The sequence below is a fragment of the Homo sapiens genome, chromosome 15, assembly GCF_000001405.40.
Source record: "Homo sapiens chromosome 15, GRCh38.p14 Primary Assembly".
NCBI lineage: Eukaryota > Metazoa > Chordata > Mammalia > Primates > Hominidae > Homo > Homo sapiens.
The window spans coordinates 65,833,118-65,860,885 of NC_000015.10; the positions used below are offsets into that span (position 1 = coordinate 65,833,118).

General features: G+C 42.4%; 1 long non-coding RNA gene and 1 pseudogene across 3 annotated transcripts in view, besides 4 other annotated features; both read left to right on the top strand.

Annotated features, from left to right (window-relative positions):
• The window catches only part of LOC105370866 (uncharacterized), a 68,011-nt gene extending 40,645 nt beyond the window's left edge, over window positions 1–27,366 (top strand). Inside the window, exons 1-4 of one of the 3 annotated variants that reach the window (XR_932371.2) lie at window positions 269–383; window positions 2,166–2,235; window positions 17,747–17,840; window positions 26,502–26,540. This is a non-coding gene — a long non-coding RNA (uncharacterized LOC105370866). Of the gene's footprint in view, window positions 1–268; window positions 384–2,165; window positions 2,236–17,746; window positions 17,841–26,501 lie in introns of those variants that run through there. The other 2 variants (XR_932373.2, XR_932372.2) reach the window with 2 other exon arrangements.
• Window positions 692–1,422: an enhancer, noted in NCBI's record as "H3K27ac hESC enhancer chr15:66126147-66126877 (GRCh37/hg19 assembly coordinates)". NCBI's record gives its function as "activates a minimal SCP1, AML or CMV promoter by ChIP-STARR-seq in primed H9 embryonic stem cells {active_cell/tissue: H9 hESC(primed)}" and the evidence as "EXISTENCE:reporter gene assay evidence [ECO:0000049][PMID:30033119]".
• On the top strand, window positions 10,314–10,441 carry LOC124903586 (uncharacterized; annotated as a pseudogene).
• Window positions 23,910–23,999: a silencer, noted in NCBI's record as "silent region_6560". NCBI's record gives its function as "represses an Ori minimal core promoter by ATAC-STARR-seq in GM12878 lymphoblastoid cells {active_cell/tissue: GM12878}" and the evidence as "EXISTENCE:reporter gene assay evidence [ECO:0000049][PMID:35858748]".
• Window positions 24,881–24,970: an enhancer, noted in NCBI's record as "active region_9607". NCBI's record gives its function as "activates an Ori minimal core promoter by ATAC-STARR-seq in GM12878 lymphoblastoid cells {active_cell/tissue: GM12878}" and the evidence as "EXISTENCE:reporter gene assay evidence [ECO:0000049][PMID:35858748]".
• Window positions 25,031–25,110: an enhancer, noted in NCBI's record as "active region_9608". NCBI's record gives its function as "activates an Ori minimal core promoter by ATAC-STARR-seq in GM12878 lymphoblastoid cells {active_cell/tissue: GM12878}" and the evidence as "EXISTENCE:reporter gene assay evidence [ECO:0000049][PMID:35858748]".
• Window positions 27,367–27,768: the final 402 nt, after the last annotated feature.

Consider the following 27,768-nt stretch of genomic DNA (forward strand, 5'->3'; position numbering starts at 1 on the left):
TACTTAGCGGAAGTCCTGTGGTGTTGTTTGGAGCAAGGCCACAAGCCCTCTCTGGGAAGGAAGTGCTGAAGCAGCTACAAAAATTTCAAACTGAAGACCAGGAATCCAGAGGCAGTATTTTAAAATAATACTCACATGAGCGAGGCAGGGCCTTGCAAAAGAGCACCTACACATTACTTAAGGAGTGTTTTATAATGTTTTGAAGATGCTACTTCCTAAATTACACAAAGAGCTAGAGAAGTTAGCCAGAAAAGCAATGTGGGTAAAACTGTTGTTACATTTAGATGGGTTGGACAGTTTGTAGCCTAGATGTCAGAAAGAGTGCTGAAACCTCCATGGGTCCTCATATAACTTCCCTGGGCATAAAGGACCCCTTAAGAAGGGTGAGTATCAAAGCAGAGGCTTCTAAATATTCAGGATAGCATGAAGACAGAAGGAGGACATATTGACAGGACTAGGTGAGGAGACAGTTCATTCATGGCTTTTTTTTTTTTTTTTTTTTTTGGTAACACTTGATTTTTTCAACACTTATACTAGGGTCTTCTTCATCAGGAGGATGTGGATGTTTAACATATCATTAGGCCCGGGATCATTTAAATCCATGTTTGGTGAGTGCTTTAAGAGAGTGAGTGATTATTAAATTCCTTCCATTGTAGGAATGGCAAATGAAATCTCCTTAATGGTTTTAGAGAATAAGCTTTTGTGCCTGGAAGAACTAGAAGACAATTCGATCACCAAGTTTTGGTGTCTTTAGCCCCACTCCTCTCGTTCTCCTCACTTAACTTCTTTCCTTTTTCCTTTCTGCCTCTGTCTACTTCTGACAGAGCAGGTGAACAAACAGCAAATGTGCAGAAAGAGGGTGTTCACTTCCCACCCTGGTGCTGTTGCTGCAGACTGCTTTAGAGCTGCTGTCTCCTGGGCTCAGGCAAAGTGCCAGCATCAATCTTTGTCATCAAAATCCCCGTGTCTGCCCTGTGTGCTGGGTGCCCTTCAGAGCCAGCAGGCCAGTTCCAGGCATGCATTTAGGTAGAAGACTGAAGGAGGGACTAGAGAAAACATTCAGAATTAGACAATAAGGATGAAAGAGGGGCAGAATCAGGTAAAAGTAAATATTTCACCAGTCTGTGTCTTACTGATGCATACAGTAGTGTGCCAGTAACACTGTTCATTTCAACTTTTTGCAATGATGGAAATGTTGTATATCCATGCTGTCTGATATAGTAGCTACACATGGGTACTGAATACTTGCAATGTGGAAAGCGAGGATGTTTTTATCCAGTTTAATTTTTGTTTATTTATTTTTTTTGAGACAGAGTCTCACTCTGTCGCCCAGGCTAGAGTGCAGTGGCGTGACCTCGACTCATTGCAACCTTTGCTTCCCAGGTTCAAGCAATTCTCGTGCCTCAGCCTCCCTAATAGCTGGAATGACATGTGCATGCCACCATACCTGGCTAATTTTTGCATTTTCAGTAGAGATGGGGTTTCACCATATTGGCCAGGCTGGTCTTGAACTCCTGACTTCAAGTGATCCACTCACTTCAGCCTCCCAAAGTGCTAGGATTATAGGCATGAGCCACCACACCCGGCCCAGTTTAATTTTAATTAATTTAAATGCAAATAGTCATTTGTGGCTGGTGACTACTGTATTAGAGACACTAATGTTTCATTGTTTGTTTTTTTTTGAAATAAGATCTCTCTGTGTTGCCCAGGATAGAGTACAGTGGTGCGATCATGGCTCACTGCAACCTCCGTCATCTCCTGGGCTCAAGCTATCCTCCCACTTCAGCCTGCTGAGTAGCTAAGACTACAGGTGAATGCCACCATGTCCGGCTAATTTTTGTATTTTTAGTACAGATGGGGTTTCACCATGTTGCTCAAGCTGGTCTCGAACTCCTGGGCTCAGGCAATGTGCCCGCCTCGGCCTCCCAAAGTGCTGGGATTATAGGTGTGAGCAACCTCACCCGGCCAAGACACTGGTGTTTTAAAAGATAACAGAGAAACATAGGAGACCAGAGATTAGTGTTGGAGTTCTGGGGTCAGATCCCAGCTCTTCTATATATATTTGTTATTAGCTTGTAAAGAAGACACTTAAGCTCTCTGTACTACTTTTCATACAACTGTAACTGGGGCTTAATAATGTTTACCTTATGGTATTGTTATGATAGGTATGGTGGATGGAAGCTTGGATGGGAGGAAAGAGTCATTGACAAGTGTACTCTATCAACAAAACTGGCCGTAAGTATCTGGAAGAGGCAGAGGCCCAGGAGATGTGTACCTTTTCACAAACCCGGCAACCCTGGATTACCAATTGTGTTGCCAAATTGTTGCAGTTGCATTAAGATGTCACATTCATAGCTCTTTTTACTTTTTCAATGTTTTCATTGGAATCTTTCACTTTTATTCTGAGAAACAGATGTTAAAAGAAAAACTGTAGCCAAATTAAATTTAAAAGAGTTTAATTGAGCAAAGAACAATTTGTGAATCGGGCAGCCTCCTGAGCCAGAGTATGCTCAGAGACTCCAGCGCAGCCACATGGTGGAAGATTTATGGCCAGAAAAAGGAAAATGACAAACAGAAAAAAGAAGTGAGGAGGAGAAACAGCTGGATGGGTTACAGTTCGGTGTTTGCCTTATTTGAACACGTTTGAACAGTTGGCCATCCTTGACTGGCCAAAACTCAATGATTGACACAAAAGTAGACTACAGCCTGTATACAGCTCCATTTAGGTTATAGTTCATGATGTACAGAGAAACCTTTAGGCTGAACTTAAGATATGTAAGGAGGCAGCTTTATGCTAAACGTGATTTAACACTGGTAAGGCAAAGGCTATCAGTTGGATTTTCCAGATGAGAACACAGGCCAGGCACAGTGGTTTACGCCTGTAATCCCAGCACTTTGGGAAGCCAAGGTGGGAGAATCACTTCAGGCCAGGAGTTTGAGACCAGCCTGGGGAGCATGGTAAAACCCTGTCTCTACTAAAAATACAAAAATTAGCCAGGCATGGTGGCACACACCTGTAATCTCAGCTACTCGGGAGGCTCAGGCAGGAGAATAACTGGAACTCGGGAGGTGGAGGTTGCAGTGAGCCAAGGTCATGCCGCTGCACTCCAGCCTGGGCGACAGAGTAAGACTCCATCTCAGAAAAAAAAAAAAATTGCATAACAAAACCTTCTCTCTGGAAGACAGCAACTGCAGTCTTTACCACCAGAGAATCTCATGTATGGCTTCCACATGGCTGTGAATAAATGATTTTGTCCTGCAATCTCCTCCTTTGTCTGGCTGAGTTTATAAAGTGCTTGCTACTCAGGCATCAAGAGTATTTCAGCAGACATCTGCACATCCATTTGCTTATACTTTCATCCTATAATTATTTAATTACCTTCTTTTAGTGCCTATAAATAAGAGCTCTGTCATCTGAGAAAAGCCCAGGAAAAATAGAAGGACCATAGAATTTATTTTATTTTATTTAATTTATTTTTTTTTTTTGAGACTGAGTTTTGCTCTTGTCGCCCAGGCTGGAGTGCAATGGCACGATCTCGATTCACTGCAAACTCTGCCACTGGGGTTCCAGCAATTCTCCTGCCTCAGCCTCCAGAGTAGCTGGGACTATAGGCATGCACCACTACATCTGGTTAATTTTGTATTTTGAGTTAACTTCAGGTGATTTCGCCTGCCTCGGCCTCCCAAAGTACTGGGATTACAGGTGTGAGCCACTGCACCTGGCCAGAAGGGCCGTAGAATTGAAATTCAGGTGGGAAAACCACTTTCCCATCTTGGCATGCACAACAATGCCCCCTGTTGACTGAGGCATGCCAGCTTAAAAACAACAACAAAAACAAAGAGTAAGAAAAAAACCAAAATAAAACAAAACAGTCCTCCCCGCAATAACAACCAGCTTTATTGAGGTATAATTGTTATACAATAAATTGTCCTACTTAAAGGGTACAATTTGATGAGTTTTAACATGAGCATATGCTGGTGAAACCACTGCAGTCAAGATAATGAACGTTTCTATCCCAGACAGCTTTTCCATTTCAGGGCAAACAGGGTGAGCACCTAGTTCAATACTATGTGGTAAAAGCTATACCCTCCTTTTAAAAATAATAGCACCGGCCCCTGCAGGGCCTTATTTATTTATTTATTTATTTTGTAGAGATAAGGTCTCCCTATGTTGCCCAGGCTGGTCTCAAAACTCCTAGGCTCAAGTGATCTTCCTGCCTTGGCCTCCCAAAGTGCTGGGATTACTGGTGTGAGCCACCACACCCGGCTAAGGGCCCTCTTTATTTCAGTGTCTGTTCTCATTGGAAAGAGAGCCCTCCATTTGATCTGTATGTGGCCTTTCCTCCTCTCGTCCAGTTACAAGGCTTGTCATTCTGTTGAAGGCTAACTTCTGTGGTGCTTTGGTTCTTATCCTCTTCCAGCTTTCTAGAGATTCCTTTTTAGGGAGCAGTCTCTCTCTCTGCTGAATCATTCACTTATCTACTAGCTCCTTTTCAATAGTAAAAACAAATACAAACAAAGCAAACAAACAAAATTAGTACCTCTTTCTGCCTCCCCCTTCCTCCCTTTAGGCACCCCTTGCTGTACCTCATGCCTTCTTTTCTCGGCCAGACTTCCAGAAATAATTGTCCAAACTCACTCTCTCTCTCTCCACTTCCTCACTTCCCTCACTCTCTTAAAGCCACCCCCACCACCACCACCACACAGATACTATTCTTGACTAGGTCACTCACTACTTCCCTGTTGCTCAGTCCACTGGACCCAACTCAGTCCTTATCATACTCAGACACTGTTGACCATTCTGTCCTTTAAAAAATAGCTTTGTTTTTACAAAAGCAATTGATGCTTTACAAAAAAAAAAAAAGGCAAACAATAAATGAAAGAATTAGGAGGCTCCTCCATGGTTCACTTGGTCTCACTGCTGCAAACAGGGCCAGTACTGCAAGAACTCTCAGCAGCCAGCCAGCCACCCAGTGCAGCTGCCCAATTCACAGAGCAGCCCCAGAAAGTCCCAGAAATTAGTCACTGTAGCCTTCTAATTTGGGGAAATTTTCTTTTTTTTCCTCTTTTTTTTTTTTTTTTTTTGAGACTAAGTCTCACTCTGTTGCCCAAGCTGGAGTGCAGTGGTGCGATCTCAGCTCACTGCAACCTCCACCTCCCGGGTTTAAGCGATTCTCCTGCCTCAGCCTCCCAAGTAGCTGGGACTACAGGCACATGCCACCACGCCCAGCTAATTTTTTTGTATTTTTAGTAGAGACGGGGTTTCACTGTGTTGGCCAGGCTGGTTTTGAACTCCTGACCTTGTGATCAGCCTGCCTCAGTCTCCCAAAGTGTTGGGATTACAGGCGTGAGCCACCGCACCCAGCTGGGAAATTTTCATACTTGCTCTTTCATAGACATTATGGAAGCTTTGCAAATTTTTTTTTTTTTTTTTTTGAGATGGAGTCTCGCTCTGTGGCCTAGGCTGGAGTGCAGTGCCACGATCTCGGCTCACTGCAACCTCCGCCTCCTGGGTTCAAGCAATTCTCCTGTCTCAGCCTCCTGAGTAGCTGGGATTACAGGCACGCACCACCAAGCCTGGGTAATTTTTGTTTTTGTTTTTTGTTTTTGAGACAGAGTTTTGCTCTTGTTGCCCAGGCTGGAGTGCAGTGGTGCAACTTCGGCTCACTGCAACCTCCGCCTCCCAGTTTCAAGCGATTCTCCTGCCTTAGCCTCCCTAGTAGCTGGGATTACAGGCATGCGCCACCAGGCCTAGCTAATTCTGTATTTTTAGTAGAGACAGGGTTACTCCACGTTGGTCAGGGTGGTCTCGAACTCTCAACCTCAGGTGATCCTCCCGCCTCAGCCTCCCAAAGTGCTAGGATTACAGAGGTGAGCCACATGCTTGGCCTTGTATTTTTAGTAGAGATGGGGTTTCACCATGTTGGTCAGGCTGGTCTCGAACTCCTGACCTCATGATCTGCCCACCTCAGGCTCCCAAAGTGCTGGGATTACAGGCATGAGCCACCGCACCCAGCTGGACAAATTTTATATAAATAAGTACATACATACATGATCGGATGCGGTGGCTCACACCTGTAATCCCAGCACTTTGGGAGGCCAACGCAGGTGGATCACCTGAGGTTGGGAGTTCGAGACTAGTCCGACCAATATGGTGAAACCCCATCTCCACTAAAAATACAAAAATTAGCCGGATGTGGTGGTGCGTGCCTGTAATCCCAACTACTTGGGAGGCTGAGACAGGAGAACTGCTTGAACCGGGAGGCAGAGGTTGCAGTGAGCTGAGATTGCGCCACTGCACTCCAGCCTGGACCACAGAGCAAGATTTCATCTCAAAAAAAAAAAAAAGGAAGGAATGCCATCATCCCAAACCAGGTGTTCTGGGAATGGGGTTGGCAGATTAACAAACAAACAAACAAACAAACAAACGTACATACATATATAAACAGAGAAGGGCCTATATTCAGTAACTCTTCAATTCTGGTCCTAAAAGTGGCTTTCAATCCTGCCCTAGAGATGACACAATCCTGGATCTACGTAACTAGCCCATGTTGGTCACTTTGAGCAGGAAGCCAGTCAGGGCATGGCTTTCCTGATAGCTACCAGTCATGTTCCCCTCCTTAAAGCTTATCTTTAAGAGAATGACAGGAACGAAGCACACAGACATATGGGATCTTGGGAGGCTGACCAAGTCATTTTAAAGGCTTATGCATTTTTAGACACATACAGAAAAATGGGTTTCTCATGACCAGTGATTTTACCCAACATAAGAAGGAAATAAAAGTCACCGCCAAAATCCCACCGCCCATAGCATCCATACCAATTTTGGTGAATATCCTTTAGACATCTTTATGCAGTATATATACCTAGAGGTATATGAATATAGTTTCACATATGTGAGATGATAATTTATATATTATTCTGTAATTGCTACATTTACTGAGAATATGCAATGGGTAGATTTCCAAGTCAATAACCGTAGACTAACACCACGATTGTTAATGATCAACAGCTATTTGTAATATTTACAAACCATGATTTATGCAACCTTTCTCCTGTTGTTGGCCATTTCGGTTGTTTGCATTGTTTAATATTGTAAACTACACGTGAAAAACATCCTGTGTTCTGCTTTTGTGCAATTTTCTCCTCAGGGTAATTTCTAGAAGTGGACAAGTTCAATACAATGGTGTGTCCATTTTATGATACAGTTACCTGACTGTCTTCTGGAAATTTTACTCCTACCAACACTGGATTTAAGGACATGTTTGCCCCACTGTCAACAACATTGAGTTTTATCGATTTCTGATTTTAGATATGGGTCTTGTAGTCTGATTCTGTTTTTGGACTAATTTAAATATATTTCTTTCAATAACAGTTTATTTCATTCACATAATTTTAATTATTAGATGTGACTCTCATTCTGTCTTTCTGTTTTGTTTTCTATTGTTATGCTTGCTTGGCATATATTGTTTTCTGTCTTTCAGTAAAGTATATGTTCTTCAGATTTTTTTTTCTTCCGGTAATTTTGAGAGGATTTTATCTGCTTTAAAAAAGTTCTAGGCCAGGCGTGGTGGCTGTCGCCTGTAATCCCAGCACTTCGGGAGGCCAAGCTGGGTAGATCACTTTGAGGTCAGGAGTTCGAGACCAGCCTGGCCAACATGGTGAAACCCCGTCTCTACTAAAAATACAAAAAATTAGCCGGGCATGGTGGCATGTGCCTGTAATCCCAGCTACTTGAGAGGCTGAGGCATAAGAATTGCTTGAACCCTGGGAGGCGGAGGTTGCAGTGAGCCAAGATCATGCCACTGTACTCCAGCCTGGGTGACAGAGTGAGACTGTGTCTCAAAACATAAAAAAAAAGATTTTTTAAAGTTCTGTAAGTGGACATTTGTGCCTTTCATATATACTTAGTTTTGTTTTTCTCAAACAATGCAATATTTGCTCCATTCTAATAATAACAATAGCTAACATTAACTGTATGTTTACTGTGTCCTCGTAACAACCCTATGAGGTGGATGAAAATATGTTTTCCTTCCTTCCTACAACTTGCTCATATCTCTAGGCTTGGGTCATCTAATCTGAGTGCTTCGTGTACTTCTCAACTTCCTTTGGCTGAGCGCAAGAAGATGAGGTGGGAGGATCCTGGAGCCCAGGAGTTTGAGTCCAGCCTGGGCATCAGAGTGAGACCTTGTCTCTAAAAAAAATAAAGAAAAATTCCTTTCTGCAGGGCATGATGGCTCATGCTTGTAATCCCAGCAGTCTGGGAGGCAGCACTCAGGAGGCAGCCATGAGAATCGCTTGAATCTGGGAAGCAGACGTTGCAATGAGCCGAGATTGTGCCACTGCAGTCCAGCCTGGGCGACAGACCGAGACTCCTTCTCAAAAAAAAAATGCAAAAAATTAGCTGGCACGTTGATGTGTGCCTGTGGTTCCAGCTACTTGAGAGGCTGAGGTGGGCGGATCATTGGAGCCCAGGAAGTTGAGGCTACATTGAGCCGAGATTGCGCCACTGTACTCCAGCCTGGGTGACAAAGTAAAACCCTGCCTCAAAAAAAGACAAAAAGAAAAAGAAAGGAAAATCCCTTTGGAAAGAAAAATCATACCCTGCTGGGGTCTGAGCTCAAGTAGCTCTCCCTTGCACTACTGAGCAGCCATGATTATTTCTGTTTAGAATTATTCAATGTCCCTCCCTCACTTCCACCCCCATAATCAGTGACATCCCAAATACACTGTTTTTTAAATCAATCCAGGCTACTGTGCTACAGACTGCACTTTCACATGGATAATTCCATTCAGTCCTCATGGCAATCCTGTTAAAATGTCTCTAATCCCCCACATTAGTGACAAGAAAACTGAGTAAAAGAGCTTGTGTGATTTGTCTTTGTGCTCAATACTTGGTGGGTGTTCTTAGCTACTGTCCTTTGACTGATTGCCACATTTTATTTACTTGTTTGTTTGTTTGTCTGTTTGTTTGTTTGTTTTTGAGACGGAGTCTTGCTCTGTCACCCTGGCTGGAGTGCAGTGTCATGATCTCGGCTGACTGCAACCTCTGCCTCCTTGGTTCAAGCGATTCTCCTGCCTCAGCCTCCCAAGTAGCTGGGACTACAGGTGCATGCCACCACACCCGACTAATTTTTGTATTTTTTAGTAGAGGTGGGGTTTCACCATGTTGACCAGGCTGGTCTTGACTCCTGACCTCAGGTGATCCACCTGGCTTGGCCTCCCAGAGTGCTGAGATTACAGGCGTGAGCCACCGCACTCAGCCTACTTGTTTATTTAGTTATTTATTTGAGACAGGGTCTCACTCTGTTGCCCAGGCTGGAGTGCAATGGTACAGTCACAGTTCATTGCAGCCTCAACCTCCCAGGCACAAGTGATCCTCCCACATCACCCTCTTAAATAGCTGGGACTACAGGGATGCACTACCACACCTGGCTAATTTTTTAATTTTCTGTAGAGCTCAGGTCTCCCTATGTTTCCCAGGCTGGTCTCAAACTCCTGGCCTCAAAGGATCCTCTTGCCTCATCCTCCCAAAGTGCTGGGATTACAGGCATGACCAACTGCATCTGGCCCACATTAAAAAAAGCAGGATAAAGCAATAAAAACCAGGACAATCTAAAACATCAAATAACATTCTTCAGGCTTTTGCCAAAGAATATACTTTTTTTTTCTTTTTTTTTTTTTTTTTGAGGTGGAGTGTTGCCCTGTTGCCCAAGCTGGAGTGCAGTGGCACGATCTTGGCTCACTGCAACCTCTGCCTCCCTGGTTCAAGTGATTCTTCTGCCTCAGCCTCCGGAGCAGCTGGGATTACAGGTTCGTATCACCACACCCAGCTAATTTTTGTATTTTTAGTAGGGACGGGGTTTCACCATGTTGGCCGGGCTAGTCTCGAACTCCTGACCTCAGGTGATCTGCCCACCTCAGCCTCCCAAAGTGCTGGAATTACAGGCATGAGCCACCACGCCTGGCCCAGAATACACTTTTAATTGGATGCTATTTAGCACTTGTCTCCTTGTTGAAAGAATTTATATTTATGAAATATTGCTTAAAGTAACTTTTTGCATCATAGGATGATTTTACAACTGTGTGCATCTGTCAGGATATTTTCTTCTCTTTTTTTTAATTTTAATTCCTAAGATATCATCAGCTAGTGATACTTTCTTTAAGCTATTAGCAGATTTGCCAATATGTTTACTAGCTCCTTTGCTCACAGTTGCACTCGGCTCCCACTTTTTTCTTCAGAGTTCAATTTCTTTCTTTCTGAACATATCCTTGAATAGCTCTTTCAGCAAGAATCTGTAAAAAGCAAACTCGGGCTAACTTTGGCAGCACATATACTAAAATTAGAACAATACAAAAGATTAGCGTAGAACAATACAAAAGATTAGCGTGGTCCCTGTGCAAGGATGACACACAAATTCATGATGCAAAAAATTCCCTTTTAAAAAATAAAATAGGCCGGGCGCGGTGGCTCACGCCTGTAATCCCAGCACTTTGGGAGGCCGAGGCGGGTGGATCATGAGGTCAGGAGATCGAGACCATCCTGGCTAACAAGGTGAAACCCCGTCTCTACTAAAAATACAAAAAATTAGCCGGGCGCGGTGGCGGGTGCCTGTAGTCCCAGCTACTCGGGAGGCTGAGGCAGGAGAATGGCGTGAACCCGGGAAGCGGAGCTTGCAGTGAGCCGAGATTGCGCCACTGCAGTCCGCAGTCCAGCCTGGGCGACAGAGCGAGACTCCGTCTCAAAAAAAAAAAATAAATAAAAATAAAAAATAAATAAATAAATAAATATATAAATAAATAAACTCAATTTTTTTTTTTTTTTTTTTTTTCAGATAGGGTCTCACTTTGTCACACAGGGCACAGACTGGAGTGCAGTGTTGTGAGCACAGCTCACTGCAGCCTCCACCTTTTGGGCTTAAGCCATCCTCCTGCCTCAGCTCCCAAGTAGGTGAGATTACAAAAGCATGCTACCATGCCTGGCTGATTTTTTGTATTTTTTTGTAGAGACAGGGTTTTGCCACATTGCCCAGGCTGGTCTCAAACTCCTGAGCTCAAATGACCCACCCACCTTGGCCTCCCAAAGTGCTTAATCTTTGTTATGTCTGGAAATGTCTTGAGTGAGAGTGTAAAAGTGTTTGATTCTGTTACTGTTCCTCAGCACTTGGGAGGTGATAGTCCATAGTCTGGCATCTACTGTTGCTCATGAGAAGTCTGCTATAAGTCTAATAATAGTCACGCCTTTGTAAGATAAGCTTTATCATCTCTGGTAATTTTAAGATTTTTCTCTTTGACTTTGATGTTCTATAATTCTACTTCAATGTGTTTAGGTGAGATGTATTGTTATTTTCGTTGGCTAGGAGACTTCAGTTTGAAAAATCAAATATTTAACATTTCACTCATTATTTCTCCAAATATTTCCTCTTCTTTATTTTCTTTATTTGTAACTTCTATTGGATATATGTGGGGTCTTCTCATTTTATTCTCTACATCTCTGTTTTTTTAAAAGTTTCCTTATCTTGTTACCTGTTTTGCTGCATTTTGGATGATTTTTTAAAATCCAGTTTCCAATTCATTAATTTCGCTTTAGCAATGTCTAATATACTATGTAATTTGTCTGTTAAGTGCTTTTCACAATGATGATAATGATGATGATGATGATGATGATGATTTTTGAGACGGAATCGTGCTCTGTTGCCCAGGCTGGAGTGCCGTGGCACAATCTCAGCTCACTGTGACCTCCGCCTCCCAGTTTTAAGTGATTCTCGTGCCTCAGCCTCCCAAGTAGCTAGGATTACAGGTGCCTGCCACCACACCTGGCTAATTTTTGTATTTTTAGTAGAGACAGAGTTTCGCCATGTTGGCCAGGCTGGTCTGGAACTCCTGACCTCAAGTGATCCGCCCACCTTGGCCTCCCAAAGGCCTGGCATTACAAGTGTGAGCCACTGTGCCTGGCCCACAATTATTATATTTTTTTACTTCTGAAATTGCTAATTGGTTCTTTGACCACATTGGTACTTTTAAATATAGTGCCCTGTTTATGCCCTAAGGTATCCATTCCTTAAACACTTTAGAGAAACTTCTTTAAAAATCTCTGTAGATTGTTCTATTATTTTTAGTTTTCAGGGTATATATTTTCTTGTCTGTTGTTTCTGCCTCTCCCTCTTATAGTCTCTCGGTGACATCTCCTTTTGTGATTTGTAATTTTTCACTTTGAGCATCTATGCAGCAGGATTGTTTCCGAATGAGTTATGTGTGCCATTTGAAGATGTTTCTAATAGGTCAGTTTCACAATTTGCTATTTCCAAGGCCCTGCAGATGTCCCTAACTATGGAAGAATTTTGTTTTGTTTTGTTCTTATTGTTGTTGTTGTTGTTTTTGAGATAGATCGAGTGGCATGATCTCAGCTCACTGCAACCTCCTTCTCCCGGGGTCAAGTGATTCTCCTGCCTCAACCTCCTAACCCCGGTGGCTGGGATTACAGGTGTGTGCCACCACGCCCGGCTATATGGAAGAGTTTTGGGTTTTTTTTGTTTTTTTTTTAAGAGGAAGTTTCGCTCTTGTTGCCCAAGCTGGAGTGCAGTGGCGCGATCTCGGCTTACCGCAACCTCTACCTCCCGGGTTCAAGCGATTCTCCTGCCTCAGCATCCTGAGTAGCTGGGATTACAGGCATGCACCACCATGCCTGGCTGATTTTGTATTTTTAGTTGAGACGGGGTTTCTCCATGTTGATCAGGCTGGTCTCAAACTGCCGACCTCGGTGATCCGCCTGCCTTGGCCTCCCAAAGTGCTGGGATTACAGGCATAAGCCACAACGCCTAGCTGGAAGAATTTTTATGTGAAATTTTGAGCTCAAGATTTCTGCATCAGATGCAGAAAATTTTCGGGTGTGTGTGTGTGCATGCATGTGCATGTGTGAGTGTGCAGTGCCTGCCTAAGGACATGAATAAATTAGTTCTTTATTTCCTTTGGCATTACGTAGGCACAGAATTAGTAGAATGGTGTTCACGGTTTTAAAATCTGTCTCATTTTTCTCAAAGCTCTTTCAGCTCAGTTTTTCAATTTTGTTTCAAAGTAGTAAAAATTGAGCTCCTACTTTCATTCCTTTATGTCGTAAAAAGCAGGATTTGTTGTTTTAAATGAAATCAACAGTTCAATACTTGAGTACTTTTTCATGCTTTCTCTGTTAGCTGTTTCTGTTTTCTCCTCTGGGATGAAAGGCAGTGAGGCTTGAAGAATAGACTTGTTGTCTATAATTTAGACTTGATTGGAATGCACTGTGAATTATCCTTATGAAAACATAATGATTCACTGCTTGTTGGGGAATTGGAAACTATTGATCTATGTTCTGCCTCAGGAGATACTGCTTCTCTTTGCAAAGGGTGCATTATAGGGTTTAGTTTGGGTTTGCATTCTCTGTCAACAGGCAGACTATTGCCTACTTTTAAATCTAGGATGCAAAGAAGTCTTCGTTAGCTCTGGCAGGTGAAGTTTTGATATAGAACTATATATATTCCCACATCTTTCCCTCAAATGTTAGCCCATTAGACCAAACTTTCCAGAAAATGACAGATTTATTTGTTCAAGACATGCACTGTCCAATAAGGACGTCACTAACCACATTTCACCTTGTTCACATGTCACCCTTGTGGTCACTTGGAATTGAGATGCACTGTAAGTGCAAAATACACACTGAATATAAAAAAGATGTAAAATATGTCCTTAATAATTGTTATACGGATTACATGTTGATTTTATATATATATATATATATATATTTTTTTTTTTTTTTTTTTTTTTTTTGAGATGGAGTCTTGCTCTGTCACCAAGGCTGGAGTATAGTGGTGCAATCTCAGCTCACTGCAACCTCCGCCTCCTGGGTTCCAGGAATTCTGCCTCAGCCTCCCGAGTAGCTGGGATTACAGGCATGCGCCACCACGCCCAGCAAATTTTTTTGTATTTTTAGTAGAGACAGGGTTTCACCATATTGGCCCGGCTGGTCTCAAACTCCTGACCTTGTGATCCACCTGCCTTAACCTTCCAAAGTGCTGGGATTACAGGTATGAGCCACTGCACCTGGCCTGATAATATTTTTAATATATGGCCAGGAACGGTGGCTTTTGGAGGCTGAGGCAGGTGGATCACCTGATGTCAGGAGTTCGAGACCAGCCTGAGCAACATGGTGAAACCCCATCTCTACTTCAAATACAAAAAAATTAGCCGGGCTTGGTGGCACATGCCTGTAATCCCAGCTACTTGGGAGGCTGAGGCAGGAGAATCGTTTGAACCTGGGAGGCGGAGGTTGCAGTGAACCGAGATCGCGCCATTGCACTCCAGCCTGGGCAACAAGAGTGAAACTCTGTCTCAAAAAAAAAAAATTTAGATATATATTAAGTTGAATTAACTATATTGTTTGTCTCACCTGTTTTTTTTCTTTTTTTGAGACAGAGTTTTGCTCTATCGCCCAGGCTGGAATGCAGTGGTGCGATCTCAGCTCACTGCAACCTCTGCCTCCAGGTTTAAGAGATTTGCTTGCCTCGGCTACCTGAGTAGCTGGGATTACAGGGATGCACTACCACGCCCAGCTAATTTTTGTATTTTTAGTAGAGACGGGGTTTTGCCATGTTGGCCTCTGCATGCTGGTCTTGAAATCCTGGCCTCAAGTGATCTGCCTGCTTCAGCCTCCCAAAGTGCTGGGATTACAGGTGTGAGGCACTGCACCTGGCCAATTTCACCTGTTTCTTTTTCCTTTAAAAAATAATGTGGCTTTAACTGGCAGCTCTGGTGTAATTAAAACAACAACAACAACAACAACAAAAACAGCAGCTACAAGAAAATTTAAAATTACTTATGTGGCCTATATTATGTTTCTGTTGGACAGTGCTGCTATAGAGTGTCCTACAAACAAGGAAACCCATAAATTCTCTAATAAGAACTTCTTTCTGTCTGTCATTCTTTTCCTGTACTCCCACTCACCATTTTTTTTTTTTTTACAATGTCATGATTTTTGGTATAAGTTAATGCTCTACTACTGCAATCCAGGCAAATGTACAGGGGATAGTATCTCACCTGAGTGAAGTCCAAAGGTCAGCATATAGATGAACATTGAATATAATAAAAATTGCCTTTGGAAATCTTTTAGGAAGGCCTCAAGCTGTCCCAATCTTTTAACTCTCACCCAGTTTTTCCCCTAGCATTAGGACAGATCATTGTTTTTTCAGGTACTATTAATAGTTGGAGAAGTACTTGTTTGTGTTTGGTACAGTATTATAGCAAAATACAAATCTAAGTTCAGAATCCCCCTCAGCCTGGAGAGATGCCCGACTATGAGAAGCAGAAGGTTCCTGTGGGTGCCTGAGGTTTACACTTCTTGTTCACTTGGGGTGTACATTCACTGAGTGCCAGAGAGGAGGGCCTTGCCTGCTCTGTTTATTTCTCTCTCTTACCTCCAATCAATTTTTCTCTATTTCCCTAATTTTGTGTTTGGTAAGTTCCTGTAGTTGTATTTACATACCTTAGTATGTAAAGATCTCTCTCTTCCCCAGATTCTGTAGATATATGATTTGAAAGGTATAACTAAAGGCCAAAAATGAAATTGCAAAGCTAATGTGAATGTACTTAATGCCACTGAACTGTACACTTAAACATGGTTAAAATGGTAAAGTTATGTTATATACATACTGCTGGGCATGGTGGTTCATGCCTATAATCCCAGCACTTTGGGAGGCTAAGTCAGGTGGATGGCTTGAGCCCAGGAGTTTGAGACCAACCTGGGCAACATGGCAAAACCTCGTCTTTACAAAAAATATATATATATAAAAAATTAGCTGGGTGTAGTGGTGTGCACCTGTAGTCCCAGCTACTCAGGAGGCTGAGATGGTAGGATGGCTTGAGCCTGAGAGGTCAAGGCTGCAGTGAGCCGTGATTGTGCCCCTGCACTCCAGCCCACACAACAGAGTGAGATCCTGTCTCAAAACAAACAACCAAACCCAAAAGTTATGTTGTATATTTTTTACCACAATTTTTAAAAGCCATAATGAAGCATACTTACATCTTGTGGGGAGAGAATGTGGGACTCTGACATGAGACAGAATTGGTGACTGGAAATGTCACAGATTGAGTTCACTCTTTCCAGACTGTGGATGGGGTCATCCCTGCAGCCCTTCTTCTAGCATGTCTCCTTCAGCTTCCTATTCATTCTGGGGGCTGCTCAATATCCCTCTGACTAAGGCCCCCTTTTTGGGCTGAACTTAGCCAGTTCTTTTTGTTTGCAACCAAAATAGCCCTAACTGATGCGCTAGGGTTCAGATCCTGGCTCTACCACATTTAAGCGTTTGCTCTTGTGTACATCTTTCTGAATCTTGGTTTTCTCATCTGCAAATTTGTCATCATAATATCTTCCTTACAGGGTAGAGCCAGGGTAAAAGATAGTATACGTGCCTAGAATTGTAACTCATAGTCCAATGGGGTTAGAAAACTAACAAGGGCAGTCTCTGGTCCCCTAGTTTACACTGGTGAGTTATTCCACCAGAATGTCAAATGCCTTATGTGGGAAATATGGGAATAATGAGGATTTCGTGTTTGTCAAATTTCTATTTGCTGCTGCACTTCAACACTGTCTCCTCTATACCGATCTTCCCTCAGGGGTTGAGGGGTAACACCATTCATGACACTACAGCATGAAATAATGGGATGAGGGAAGGAGACAAGAATCTATCTCTCTGAAAATGTCTGATCAATGAATAATCAGATGGAAAATGTAAAAAATAAAATTTGTCCAACGGGGTTTATAGTGAAGTCTTTTAAAATAGCTGACGTTGGCCAGGTGTGGTGGCTCACGCCTGTCATCCCAGCACTTTGGGAGGCCGAGATGGGTGGATCATGAAGTCAAGGGTTCGAGAGTAACCTGGCCTGCATGATGAAACCCTGTCTCTACTAAAAATACAAAAATTAGCTGGGCGTAGAGGCACACTCCTGTAATCCTAGCTACTCAGGAAGCTGAGGCAGGAGGATTGGTTGCAGTGAGCTGAGATCATGCCACTGTAACTCCAGCCTGGGGGGACAGAGCGAGACTCCATCTCAGAAAAAAAAAATTAATTAATTAATTAAATTAAATTAAATAGCTGACACTGGAGAGAATGGCTAATAACTGCTTTAGGATTTAGTTCTATTAAATAATTTTTGTTTTTTTTTTTTTTGAGACAGAGACTTACTCTGCTGCCCAGGCCCAGGCTGGAGTGCAATGGCACGATCTCAGCTCACTGCAACCTCCGTCTCCCGGGTTCAAGCGATTCTTTGTGCCTCAGCCTCCCAAGTGGCTGGGATTACAGGCATGTGCCACCACATTTGGCTAATTCTTGTATTTTTGGTAGAGACAGGGTTTCACCATGTTGGCCAAGCTGGTCTCGAACCCCTGACCTCAAGTGATCTGTCCACCTCAGCCTCCCAAAGTGCTGGGATTACAGGCGTGAGCCACTGCGCCTGGCCTTAAATTTGTTTTGATGATTACTTCAGTCCATGTTACATTGTTGTGTATATGATAACGCATGGAATTGTAATGGGATTCTACTGCACTTTACCACACAAAGCAGGATGGGGATAAAAATGAAAAGACTCAGTAACAAAGCTCTCCAGATGTTGTAGCTTTTATACACTCTTCCTTTGCCCCCCAAATCAACCCTTACTGCCAATATCAGAATACTTAAAAGTGTTTTCATTGAATTATTTATGTCTTTGTCTTCCTTAGGCTACAAGTGCAAAAAGCTGAATGAAAAATGGAAAGGTTACTGCTGAAATATTTACAGATGGAAGGATATGATGTCTAGAATTTGTTTCAAACAGTAAGTATGTGGGTGGGGCAAGTAGCTGGTGATGTAGATGGAATAAGACTGGTCACAGGTTAATGTTTTAAGGTGCTAGGTACTAGTAGATGGGGTTCATTATTTTATTCTGTCTATTTTGCATATGTTTAAAATTTGTCACAATACTTTTTAAAATTGGATAATTACACTACTTAAAATATGCATGTGTGAAGCAAAGACTGAAAGAGAACAAGAAAAATAAAGTTATGTTGGGTTTAGAGTAGCTGAATTATAGGTGAATTACTTTTTAAAACTTTAATATTATTCTAATTTTATCTTTCAATAAATAAAAATCCGAAGGAAAAACACACACAAAAACTCTTTGAATGTAAGGACCAGTGGCATGCTGGAGGTGGCTTGTTATCAGCTTGAGAGAACTGATTGTTAAATTTTCAGGAATTTTGCATCCTGGCTAATGTTATGTGGGCAGCTTGAAATTGACCATGGTAGGAGTATTTATACCTGAAAATTAGCAAACACTACAAATCAGTATTCCCAAAAGCCAGTTGTTAAACATTTGCCATTTGTGGGCTGTATTGTAAAGACTGCATTGTATACTTTTCTACCCCAAATTATCTAAAGGTCCTGAAGTCAATGGGCAGGTACTTACTAATTTATTTTACACATATTTAATGAGGTTCTACCATGGGCAAGAAATCGTGCTAGGCACTTTGGGGAATACAAAGAATTATCTAAGAAAGGAGGAGAGGATATCCTAAAGTTCGTGTGAGAACATACATGTAAAAAATTATGCAGGCTGGGCACGGTGGCTCACGCCTGTAATCCCAGCACTTTGGGAGGCTGAAGTGGGTGGATCACCTGAGGTCAGGAGTTTGAGACCAGCCTGGCCAACATGGCGAAACCCCAACTCTACCAAAAATACAAAAATTAGCCAGGAGTGGTGGTGGACGCCTGTAATCCCAGCTACTCGGGAGGCTGAGGTAGGAGAATTGCTTGAACCCGGGAGGTGGAGGTTGCAGTGAGCCAAGATCATGCCACTGCACTCTAGCCTGGGCAACAGAGCAAGACTCTGTCTAAAAAAAAAAAAAATTACAATACAAATATGGCAATATAGGGGTGCTGAGGCAGGAGGACTGCTTGAGGCCAGGAGTTCCAGACCAGCCTGGGCAACATAGTGAGACTCCCTGACTCTATTTTTTTTTTCTTTGAGACAGGGTCTTCCTGAGTCACCCAGGCTGGAGTACAGTGGCGCAATCTTGGGTCACTGCAGCCTTGACCTCCCGGGCTCAAGCAATCCTCCCACATCATCCTCCCAAGTAGCTGGGACTACAAGTGTGCCATCACGCCTGGCTCATTTTTGTATGCTTTGTAGAGATGGGGTTTCACCATGTTGCCCAGGCTGGAATCGAACTCTTAGATTCGAACCATCTGCCCACCTCAGCCTCCCAAAATGTTGGCATTACAGGTGTGAGCCACCTCACCCAGCCTGCCCTGACTCTATTAAGAAAAAAGAAAACTTGCCATTCAGCTACAAGGAATGTAGCTGGTTGACAGCCTCCAGCTGCTAGTGACTTTAGGATCCACCTCAGCTTTCTAAAAAACACTGAATTGTCATGCCAGGTGTGTTGGTATATGCCTGTAATCCCAGCTACTCAGGAGGCTAAGGTGGGAGGATTTTTTAGTAAGTGAATTGTATCTCAATAAAACTGTTATTAACAAAAGGAAGGAGGTTGGGCATGGTGGCTCACGCCTGTAATCCCAGCACTTTGGGAGGCCGAGGCAGGCAGATCAGTTGAGGCCAGGAGTTCGAGACCAGCTTAGGCAACATAGGGAGACCCCCATCTCTACAAAACATTTAAAAATTAGCCAGGTGTGGTGGTACACACCTGTAGTCCCAGCTGCTTGGGAGACTGAGGCAGGAGGATTGTTTGAGCCCAGGATGTGGAGGTTGCAGTGAGCGGAAATCGTGCCATTGCACTCCAGCCTGGCTGACAGAGGGAGACACTGTCTCAAGAAAAAAAAAAAAAAGAAGAAGGAAACAGGACAAAGATGAAAGATGTCAAGATGTCAGCCACTAGTTCTATTTTTAAATTTTAAAAAATGTTTTTCTGGAAGGCCTAGCTAATGCAATAGGACAATAAAAATAACTTTTGAAAGAGAGTTAAAAACATCATTATTTGGAGGCTATTTGATCTACTGAGAAAATATCAAGAAAGAAAATAATATTAGTTCAGGAGAGTGGCTAAGTGGGTATATACTATACATATGTGTGTGTATGTCTTAGTCTTTTTGTGCTGCTATAACAAAATATTGCGAACTGGGTGATTTATAAATAATAGAAATTTCTGTCTCACAGTTCTGAAGGCTGGGAAGTTCAAGATCAAGGGGCAGGTTTGATGTCTGGTGAGGGCTGCTTTCTCTCCTTTTAAGATGGCGCCTTGTTGCTGTGTCCTCCAGAGGGGACAAATGCTTTATCCTCACATGGTAGAAGATGAGAGGGCAGAAAAGCAGCAAACTCTCTCTGAATGAAGCCTCTTTTATAAGGACATTAATCCATTCATGAGGAGCCCTTATGACTTAATCACCTCCACAGAAGCTTCACCTTTCCGTTCCACCACAATGGGGATTAAGTTTCCACATGAATTTTGGAAACACACGTTCAAACCACAGCAATATGTTTATAAACAGACACACACACACACACACACACACACACACACCCCACCCCTCCACATGCCAGTTAGAAAAATACTTGATTCACAGTAATAGCAACAGCTGTGAAATACCTCCGATAAAACTTAATCTAAAATGTGTAAGACCTTTACAGAAAAAACAAAAATTCTGCTAAAATAAATAAAATAAAACTTGAATAATAGACATATATATTTATGGAAGGGAAAACTCAATATATAAATCAACTCAAAAATAAATCACTTCTTCACATATTAATCTAAGATTGCAATGGAATTCAAAACAAAATCCCAATAGATATTTTAAAATTTGTTAAATTGTTTCTAAAGTTCATCTGAAAACACAGATGTGAGATAAGCCTAGAAAAATTTGAAAGAAAGAAAAGAATTATGAGAAGCACTGGCATGCGGGTAGAAAAAAATTAATGGAACAAAATGGAAAGTCCAAAAGCTAATCCATGTACTATGGAGTTTTAGAGTGGGAAATGAAGATATAAAAATGGCATTTCAAAACAATGGGATGGGCCAGGCATGGTGGCTCATGCCTGTAATCCCAGCACTTTGAGAGGCCAAGGCGGGCGGATCACCTGAGGTCAGGAATTCAAGACCATCTTGGCCAACATGGTGAAACCCTGTCTCTACTAAAATTACAAAAATCAGCTGAATGTGGGGGTGCACACCTGTAATCCCAGCTACTCGGGAGGTTGAGGCAGGAGAATAGCTTGAACCCGGGCAGCAGAGGCTGCAGTGAGCTGAGATCACACTGCTGCACTCCAGCCTGGGTGATGGAGGGAGACTCGGTCTCAAAAACAAAACAAAACAAAAAACAATGGGATGGTTTATTAAATAAATGATGTTGGGGCAATTGGATATTCATATAAGAAAAACTAATGCTAAAATAAATAAAACTTATATATGGAAAAGATTCCATTTAAAAAGTTAAAATACAGCCAGTCACTGTAGCTCACACCTGCAATCCCAGCATTTTGGGAGGCCAAGGCAGGTGAATCACCTCAGGTCAGGAGTCTGAGGCCAGCCTAACCAACATGGAGAAACCCAGTCTCTACTAAAAATACAAAATTAGCCAGGCATGGTGGCGCATGCCTGTAATCCCAGCTACTCGGGAAGCTGAGGCAGGAGAATTGCTTGAACCTGGGAGGCTGAGGTTGTGGTGAGCCGAGATCGTGCCATTGAACTCCAGCCTGGGCAACAAAAGTGAAACTCCGTCTCTAAAAAAAAAAAAAAAAAAAAAAAAAAAAAGTTAAAATACAAAGAATGAACTGAAGAAAATATTTGCAACATGTATGATTGACTAGGATTTAATATCCTTAGTTCTATAAAGAGCTTTTATGACTCAATAGGCAAACAATAAATATCCTGATAGACAAACAAAGGATTGAACAGGCAATTCACACACACACAAAGGAAATGGCCATTAAACATTTAAAACTTCTCAACTTCACTTGCAAAAGAATACTGCTAATTATAATAAAAGATGTAATTTTTATACATTAGCAAAGGTGAAATTGATGGACAGGATAATATTCCATATTTTAAAGAATATAGAGAATCAGTGGCCGGGTGCCATGGCTCACACCTATAATCCTAGCACTTTGGGAGGCTGAGGCAGGTGGCTCACTGGAGGTCAGGAGTTAGAGACCAGCCTGGCCAACATGGTGAAACCTTGTCTCTGCTAACAATACAAAAATTAGCTGGGCGTGATGACACGTACCTGTAATCCCAGTTACTCAGGAGGCTGAGACAGGAGGTTGCAGTGAGCCAAGATCGAGCCACTGCATTCCACTCCCACCCCCGCCAAAAAAAAAAGATAATCAGGAACTCTCAAGCATTACTAGGAATAAAAATTGGTACCACCATCAGGAAGGCATTTCTTCTAGAAATGTATTCAAAGGAAATGTTTAGAAGGATGCTCACTACAACATCTTTATAGTATCAAAACATTGAGAAGATCCTAAATGTTTATCAATAATAGGTTGGTTAAATAAACTTTGGTTCATCCATATAACAGAGGTATATAAGAGTTTAAACTAGATCTGTATTTCTTACTATTGAAAGATTCAGAGAAAAAATGAGATTGCTCAACAGTGTATATTTCACTTATGTAAGAATTAAATACACATCTTCATATATTGTATATTAAAGATTCTGCAGGTTGAAGAGTCTGAAAGACTATATGCCAAAATGTTAATGCTACTTGAGGAAAGAAGGGGAAGGTATCACTTGTATTTTCAGTTGCAAGCAATAGAAAATTAGAGTCAAATGGACTAAAATAATAAGGGGAATATATTGGCCAAGTAGTCAAATGCCTAAAGGCAGAGTGGGCTTTGGTGATGGGTTGACATAGGTGTTCAACGTGTGGTTCAGCTTTTTTTCCATCTTGCCCTTTGCCTTCAAGGTAAAAGCCTCTTTTTTTTTTTTTTTTTTTTTTTTTTTTTTTTTTGAGACGGAGTTTCCCTCTTGTTGCCCAGGCTGGTGTGCAATGGTGCGATCTTGGCTCACCGCAACCTCCGCCTCCTGAGTTCAAACAATTCTGCCTCAGCCTCCTGAGTAGCTGGGATTACAGGCATGTGCCACCACGCTCAGCTAATTTTGTATTTTTAGTAGAGATGGGGTTTCTCCGTGTTGGTCAGGCTGGTCTCGAACTCCTGCGTCAGGTGATCCATCCACCTCGGCCTCCCAAAGTTGCTGGGATTACAGGAGTGAGCCACCATGCCTGGCGGTAAAAGCCTCTTAAAGACATTATATTGAGTGAAATAAGTTAGACATAAAAGTGTAAATACCCTATGATTCCCCTTAGATGAGATACCTAGGGTAATCAAACTCATAGAGACAGAAAGTAGAATGGTGGCTGCCAGGGCATTGCATAATGGGTATAGAGTTTCAGTTTTGCAAGATGAAGAGAGTTCTGGGGCCGAGCGAGGTGGCTTATGCCTGTAATCACAGCACTTTGGGAGGCTGAGGCAGGAGGATCACTTGAGGTCAGTAGTTCGAGACCAGTCTAGGCAACATGGTGAAACCCCATCTCTACTAAAAATACAAAAATTAGCTGGGGGTGGTGGCGGGTGCCTGTAGTCCCAGCTACTCGGGGGGCTGAGGCAGGAGAATCGCTGGAACCGGGGAGGTGAAGTTTGCAGTGAGCCAAGATCGTGCCACTGCACTCCAGCCTGGGCAAGAAAGCAAGACTCAGTCTCAAACAAAAAAAAAAAAAAAGAAAGAAAGAAAATAGTTCTGGGTATATTTGTTGCATAACAATGTGAATGTACACTGTACAACGTAAAAATGGTTGAGATGGTACGTTTTATGTGTATTTTATCACATTTTTAAAGAAAATTACATTGCCTAAAAAGGTATAATAAAAGCCTCATCCTAAGGCTAGCTCCCCCTGGTGGTGGGAGAGTTGCAGCACATTGAGGCGAGGCTACAGGTGTCACTAAGGTGCTGGGTGTCTCCCTTCACCCATCATGCAGCCCACCCAGGCTTCTCTCTGGTTGGACCATAATAGTATGTTTCTGGATCATGCACTCTGCTGGCATCACATTCTAGGGCTCTCTTTGGAAATTTGGGAAGAAACTTTTTTTTTTTTTTTTGAGACAGAGTTTCACTCTTGTCACCCATGCTGGAGTGCAGTGGCGCCATCTTGGCTCAATGCAACCTCTGCCTCGTCCCCCGAGTAGCTGGGATGACAGGCACGCAACACCATGCCTAGCTAGTTTTTGTATTTTTAGTGGAGACGGGGTTTCACCATGTTGGCCAGGCTAGTCTCGAACTCCTGACCTCCAGTGATCCGCCCGCCTCGGCCTCCCAAAGTGCTGGAATTGTAGGCGTGAGCACTGCACCTAGCCTTGGGGAGAAATTTTGGCTGTCACAATAATTGGTCATTTACAGAATGTGGGCCAGGGGCATTAGATTTCTGATAATGTATGGGTAAATACATTACAGAATTTTCCCACATTCCGCACAACTTTTAATGCCCTGCTCGACATTAATGTAGATTTTTAAAAACTTGTGTGTAATAATTTGAGCCTAGCCTCTCATTCCATTTTATATATAAATATAAACTATTTTTGCATGGTTTTAATATAAACAGAATATCCAGATATGAGGCTAATGAGTAAATTGACAGAAAATAGTATTTAGCTACATTTGGAACTTTACCAAAAGTTGTTCACTGTTTCAGAAAATCATGTCTTCAACAACCAACACTTGTGGTATTTGAGTCACTGATTTAGCCCTGCATATTGCAATTCACACTGCATAATGCAATTCACACTGCATATTTTAACATCTCTGAAATCAGGATGTATCCTACAATCAATGACGTCTACAAAATACACTAGTGAATATTAGTCTGCATTTGAAGCTGTTGCATTGATTTCTTGCTTGGATTCTTATAACAACCTCCCAACTGGTCTCCCTGCTTCCATCCTTCTCCTCCTACAATGTTTTCAACAGAGCAGCCAGATTTTTCCTTTTAAAATGTAGGTCAGATCATGTCACTCCTCTGCTCAAAACCTTCTCATGTTTCACCAGTTTACTCAGAGTACAAGCCTTACAGTGGCCCATGAGGCCCTTCAAGATCTGGCTTCTTTACTTCTCTGACCCATCTCCTACTTCTGCTTTTATTTATAGTACCTGCTCTAATCCACCTCCCTGGTCCGTTTACAGACCACGCACTTGCTAGACAAGCTTCTGCCTTAGGGTCTTCACATTAGCTATTCCACCTGCCTGCGTATTTTTCCCCTAGATAATCGGTGTGATTCATTCCCTCACCTCCTTTAAATCTTTGCTCAAATGTACCTTCTAGTGAGGCTGCCTTGACTACTCTATTTTGAACTGCAAGTCACTACCCACCTCTCTACTGCTCTGAACTCTTATTTCCTTTTACCCTGTTCTACTTTAAAAAAGTCATAACAGGGCCGGGCGTGGTGGCTCAGGCCTGTAATCCCAGCACTTTGGGAGGCTGAGGTGGGCGGATCACCTGAGGTCAGGAGTTCAAGACCAGCCTGGCCAACAAGGTGAAACCCCATCTCTACAAAAACACAAAAATTAGCCGGGCATGGTGGCACGCACCTGTAATCCCAGCTACACGGGAGGCTGAGGCGGGAGAATCACTTGAACTGGGGAGGTGGAGGTTCCAGTGAGCCGAGATAGCACCATTGTACACTGTACTCCAGCCTGGGTGACAGAGCAAGACTCCACCTCAAAAAAAAAAAAAAAAAAAGATCAGAACAGTTGTCATCTTCTAATGTAATACATAACTTACTTATGTATTATGTTGATTGTGGTCTATAACCACACCACCCTGCTAGAATGTTTGCTCCATGAGGCAAGGATTTCTTTTTCTTTCTTTTCTTCCTTCCTTAATTTCCTTCCTTCCTTCCTTCCTTCCTTCTTTTCTCTCTCTCTTCTCTCCCTCTTTCTCTCTCTTCTCTCCCTCTTTCTCTTTCTTTCTCTTTCTTTCTTTCTCTCTCTAACCCTCCCCCCCGCTTTCTTTTTTTGTTTTTTTTTTTGACATGGTCTCACTCTGTGGCGCAGCTGGAGTGCAGTGGTGTGAACTTGCTCATTGCAACCTTTGCCCCCAAGGCTCAAGCGATCCTCCTACCTCAGCCACCCGAGTAGCTGGGGCCACAGGGATGCACCACGATGCCCGGCTATTTTTTTGTATTTTTAGCAGGGCCAGAGTCTCGCCATGTTGCCCAGGCTGGTCTCGAACTCCTGAGCTCAAGCGATCCACCCACCTTGGCCTCTCAAAGTGCTGAGATTACAGGCATGAGCCACTGTGCCCAGTCTAAGGCAAGGATTTCTGTCTGTATCCCTAGTAAACAGTGCCCAGCACATAGTAGGTACTCAATAAACATTGTTACATAAATGGTGATTCTGTTAGGTGCAAGTATCTAATTACTTCATTATGTCTTCTATTACACTTGTGCTCAAGCATTTACTTTTTTTTTTTTTTTTTTTTTTGTAGAGACGAGGTCTTACTACCATAGCCCAGGCTGGGCTCAACTGATCCTCCTGCCTCAGCCTCCCAAAGTGCTGGGATTACAGGTGTGAGCCACCACGCCCGCCATCAAGCATTTACTTATTGAAACACATATCTTTTTATAATGCATTATTTTCTTATTTATCCTTTATACTTATAGCATTATATTGATTTTTAAAGTGTGTGCACTCACCTATGCAGCACTCAAAAGGTTCTCTAAAATGATGGTTGACATCTTTCTTCAACTCTGGTGTTTTCCTATGTAACTTTTTCTAAGTGTAATATGTACTCAACAACTAAAATAGGATGTATGATATGTACATGCCTGCATGGGCATACAAAGACACACATACACATATATAAAATAAAGAAAACACTAAAATATCAGCAAGCTTGACTCCCAACTTAAAATTATGTGTGCAGGAAGGTATATCATAAGATAAGATCTATTGATGTCAGGATGGTAAAGACAGTGTTATGAAACGTTTGTTACAATATCAGGGTTTGGATGTTAGGATTGAGAACCTCAGGGTTAGATAATTCCAGAAGCCACTCCTGGAGCTGTGGGTAGGGATAATCCCACCCAAACTGCCTGGCTGTTTTCTGGATGGAAGGGGTGGGGTGGTGCTGGGGAGGAAACCACAATGTTGGCAGCCAGGAGGAAACAAACTTCACTTTCCAAGTTTACTGTACTTCTATATTGTTTGTGTTATTTGACTATTTTACAATGACTGTTCATTCCTTTTGTAACAAGCAAGACCAGTAAAGCTTTTTTTATTTTAAAATCTCCTATAAAATATAGAAAACAGATAAACAAAATAATAAAAATCACCTGTAATCCTATTCTGCAGAAATAACCACTGCTAACATTTTATTTTTATAACCTTTTGTTTTCAGGCATGTGTGGACTTACATAGATATTTCAATGATGGCTCTGAATAATAGGAATCATGCAGTTGGAGGTGTCATTTGTTAAGATTATTCTGGCAGCCACCAGCATGTTGGATTGAAGTGGGAGAAAACTGAGGGTAGGGTTAGGTTGTAACCAAACAGTGGAGAAGGAAATCACACCAGAGTGGTGGCTATGGGAATGGAAAGAAACATACCAAGAGATATTGTAAAGAAAGGAACCATGGGCTGGGCACAGTGGCTCATGCCTGTAATCCCAGCACTTTGGGAGGCCAAGGCAGGTGGATCACAAGGTCAGGAGATCGAGACCATCCTGGCTAACACAGTGAAACCCCGTCTTTAC